We start from the raw sequence: 3,702 nt of genomic DNA, 5'->3' as shown, positions 1-3,702 counted from the left end.
GTGGTGGTGTTTCTGAGGGCTCTGTTCTGTTCCATTGGTCTGTATCTCTGTTTTGGTACTAGTACCTGCTGTTTTGGTTACTGTAGACTTGTGGCATAGTTTGAAGTCAGGTAGCGTGATGCCTCCAGGTTTGTTCTTTTGGCTTAGGATTGACTTGGCAATGCAGGCTCTTTTTGGTTCCATATGAAATTTAAAGTAGTTTTTTTCCAATTCTGTGAAGAAAGTCATTGGTAGCTTGATGGGGATGGCATTGAATCTGTAAATTACCTTGGGCAGTATGGCCATTTTCACAATATTGATTCTTCCTATCCATGAGCATGGAATGTTCTTTCATTTGTTTGTGTCCTCTTTAATTTAGTTGAGCAGTGGTTTGTGGTTCTCCTTGAAGAGGTCCTTCACATCCCTTGTAAGTTTCTAGGTATTTTATTCTCTGAAGCAATTGTGAATGGGAGTTCACTCATGATTTGGCTCTGTGTTTGTTATTGGTATATAGGAATGCTTGTGATTTTTGCACATTGATTTTGTATCCTGAGACTTTGCTGAAGTTGCCTACCAGCTTAAGGAGATTTTGGGCTGAGATGATGGGGTTTTCTAAATATACAATCATGTCATCTGCAAACAGGGACAATTTGCCTTTCTCTTTTCCTAATTGAATACCCTTTATTTCTTTATCCTGCCTGATTGCCCTGGCCAGAACTTCCAACACTATGTTGAATAGGAGTGGTGAGAGAGGGCATCCCTGTCTTGTGCCAATTTGCAAAGGGAATGCTTCCAGTTTTTGCCCATTCAGTATGATATTGGCTGTGGGTCTGTCATAAATAGCTCTTATTATTTTGAGATACGTGCCATCAATACCTAGTTTATTGAGAGTTTTTAGCATGAAGCGCTGTTGAATTTTGCCAAAGGCCTTTTCTGCATCTATTGAGATAATCATGTGGTTTTTGTCTTTGGTTCTGTTTATATGATGGATTACATTTATTGATTTCCATATGTTGAACCAGCCTTGCATCCTATGGATGAAGCCAACTTGGTCGTGGTGGATAAGCTTTTTGATATGCTGCTGGAATCGGTTTGCCAGTATTTTATTGAGGATTTTTGCATCGATGTTCAGCAGGGATATTGGCCTGAAATTCTCTTTATTTGTTGTGTCTCTGCCAGGCTTTGGTATCAGGATGATGCTGGCCTCATAAAATGAGTTAGGGAGGATTCCCTCTTTTTCTATTGATTGGAATAGTTTCAGGAGGAATGGTACCAGCTCCTCTTTGTACCTCTTGTAGAATTTGGCTGTGAATCTGTCTGGTCCTGGACTTTTTTTGGTTGGTAGGCTATTAATTATTGCCTCAATTTCAGAGCCTATTGTTGGTCTATTCAGGGATTCAACTTCTTCTTGGTTTAGTCTTTGGAGGGTGTATGTGTCCAGGAATTTATCCATTTCTTCTAGATTTTCTAGTTTATTTGCATAGAGGTGTTTCTAGTATTCTCTGATGATAGTTTGTATTTCTGTGGGATTGCTGGTAATATCCCCTTTATTATTTTTTATTGCGCCTATTTGATTCTTCTCTCTTTTCTTCTTTATTAGTCTTGCTAGCAGTCTATCAATTTTGTTGGTCTTTTCAAAAAACCAGCTCCTGGATTCATTGATTTTTTGAAGCATTTTTTTTGTGTCTCTATCTCCTTCAGTTCTGCTCTGATCTTAGTTATTTCTTGCCTTCTGCTAGCTTTTGAATGTGTTTGCTCTTGCTTCTCTAGTGCTTTTAATTGTGATGTTAGGGTGTCAATTTTAGATCTTTCCTGCTTTCTCTTTTGGGCATTTAGTGCTATACATTTCCCTCTACACACTGCTTTAAATGTGTCTCAGTGATTCTGGTATGTTGTGTCTTTGTTCTCATTGGTTTCAAAGAACATCTTTATTTCTGCCTTCATTTTGTTATGTACCCAGTAGTCATTCAGGAGCAGGTTGTTCAGTTTCCATGTAGTTGAGCAGTTTTGAGTGAGTTTCTTAATCCTGAGTTCTACTTTGATTGCACTATGGTCTGAGAGTTTGTTATAATTTCTATTCTTTTACATTTGCTGAGGATTGCTTTACTTCCAACTATGTGGTCAATTTTGAAGTGTGATGTGGTGCTGAGAAGAATGTGTATTCTGTTGATTTGGGGTGGAGAGTTCTGTAGATGTCTATTAGGTCCGCTTGGTGCAGAGCTGAGTTCAACTCCTGGATATCCTTGTTAACTTTCTGTCTCGTTGATCTGTCTAATGTTGACAGTGGGGTGAAGTCTCCCATTATTATTGTGTGGGAGTCTAAGTCTCTTCCTAGGTCTCTAAGGACTTGCTTTATGAATCTGGGTGCTCCTGTATTGGGTGCACATATATTTAGGATAGTTAGCTCTTCTTGTTGAATTGATCCCTTTACCATTATGTAACGGCCTTGTCTCTTTTGATCTTTGTTGGTTTAAAGTCTGTTTTGTCAGAGACTAGGATTGCTACCCCTGCATTTTTTTGTTTTCCATTTGCTTGGTAGATCTTCCTCCATCCCTTTATTTTGAGGCTATGTGTGTCTCTGCACTTTGGTGAATCTGACAATTATGTGTCTTGGAGTTGCTCTTCTCGAGGAGTATCTTTGTGGCGTTCTCTGTATTTCCTGAATTTGAATGTTGGCCTGCCTGGCTAGGTTGGGGAAGTTCTCCTCAATAATATCCTGCAGAGTGTTTTCCAACTTGGTTCCATTCTCCCTGTCACTTTCAGGTACACCAATTAGACGTAGATTTGGTCTTTTCACATAGTCCTATATTTCTTTGAAGCTTTGTTCATTTCCTTGTACTCATTTTTCTCTGACATTGTCTTCTCACTTCATTTCATTCATTTGATCTTCAATCACTGATACCCTTTCTTCCACTTGATGGAATCGGCTACTGAAGCTTGTGCATTTGTCATGTAGTTCTCGTGCCATGGTTTTCAGCTCCATCAGGTCATTTAAGGTCTTCTCTATGCTATCTATTCTAGTTAGCCATTCATCTAATCTTTTTTCAAGTTTTTTAGCTTCTTTGTGATGGGTTCGAACATCCTCCTTTAGCTCGGAGTAGTTTGTTATTACTGATCGTCTGAAGCCTTCTTCTCTCAACTCGTCAAAGTCTTTCTCCATCCAGCTTTGTTCTGTTGCTGGTGAGGAGCTGTGTTCCTTTGGAAGAGAAGAGGTACTCTGATTCTTAGAATTTTCAGCTTTTCTGCTCTGGTTTCTCCCCATCTTTGTGGTTTTATCTACCTTTGGTCTTTGATGATGGTGACATACAGATGGGGTTTTGGTGTGGATGTTCTTTCTGTTTGTTAGTTTTCCTTCTAACAGTCAGGACCCTCAGCTACAGGTCTGTTGGAGTTTGCTGGAGGTCCACTACAGACCCTGTTTGCCTGCATATCACCAGTGGAGGCTGCAGAATAGCAAATATTGCAGAATGGCAAATGTTGCTGCCTGATCCTTCCTCTGGAAGCTTCATCTCAGAGGGGCACCTGGTCGTATGAGGTGTCAGTCAGCCCCTTCTGGGAAGTGCCTCCCAGTTAGGCTACTCAGGGGTCAGAGACCCACTTGAGGAGGCAGTCTGTCCATTCTCAGATCTCAAACTCCATGCTGGGAGGACCACTACTCTCTTCAAAGCTGTCAGACAGGGACGTTTCAGTCTGCAGAAGTTTCTGCTGCCTTTTGTTCAGCTA

Source organism: Homo sapiens, chromosome 4 (genome assembly GCF_000001405.40).
Source record: "Homo sapiens chromosome 4, GRCh38.p14 Primary Assembly".
Taxonomy (NCBI): domain Eukaryota; kingdom Metazoa; phylum Chordata; class Mammalia; order Primates; family Hominidae; genus Homo; species Homo sapiens.
This window is presented reverse-complemented; position numbering follows the sequence as displayed.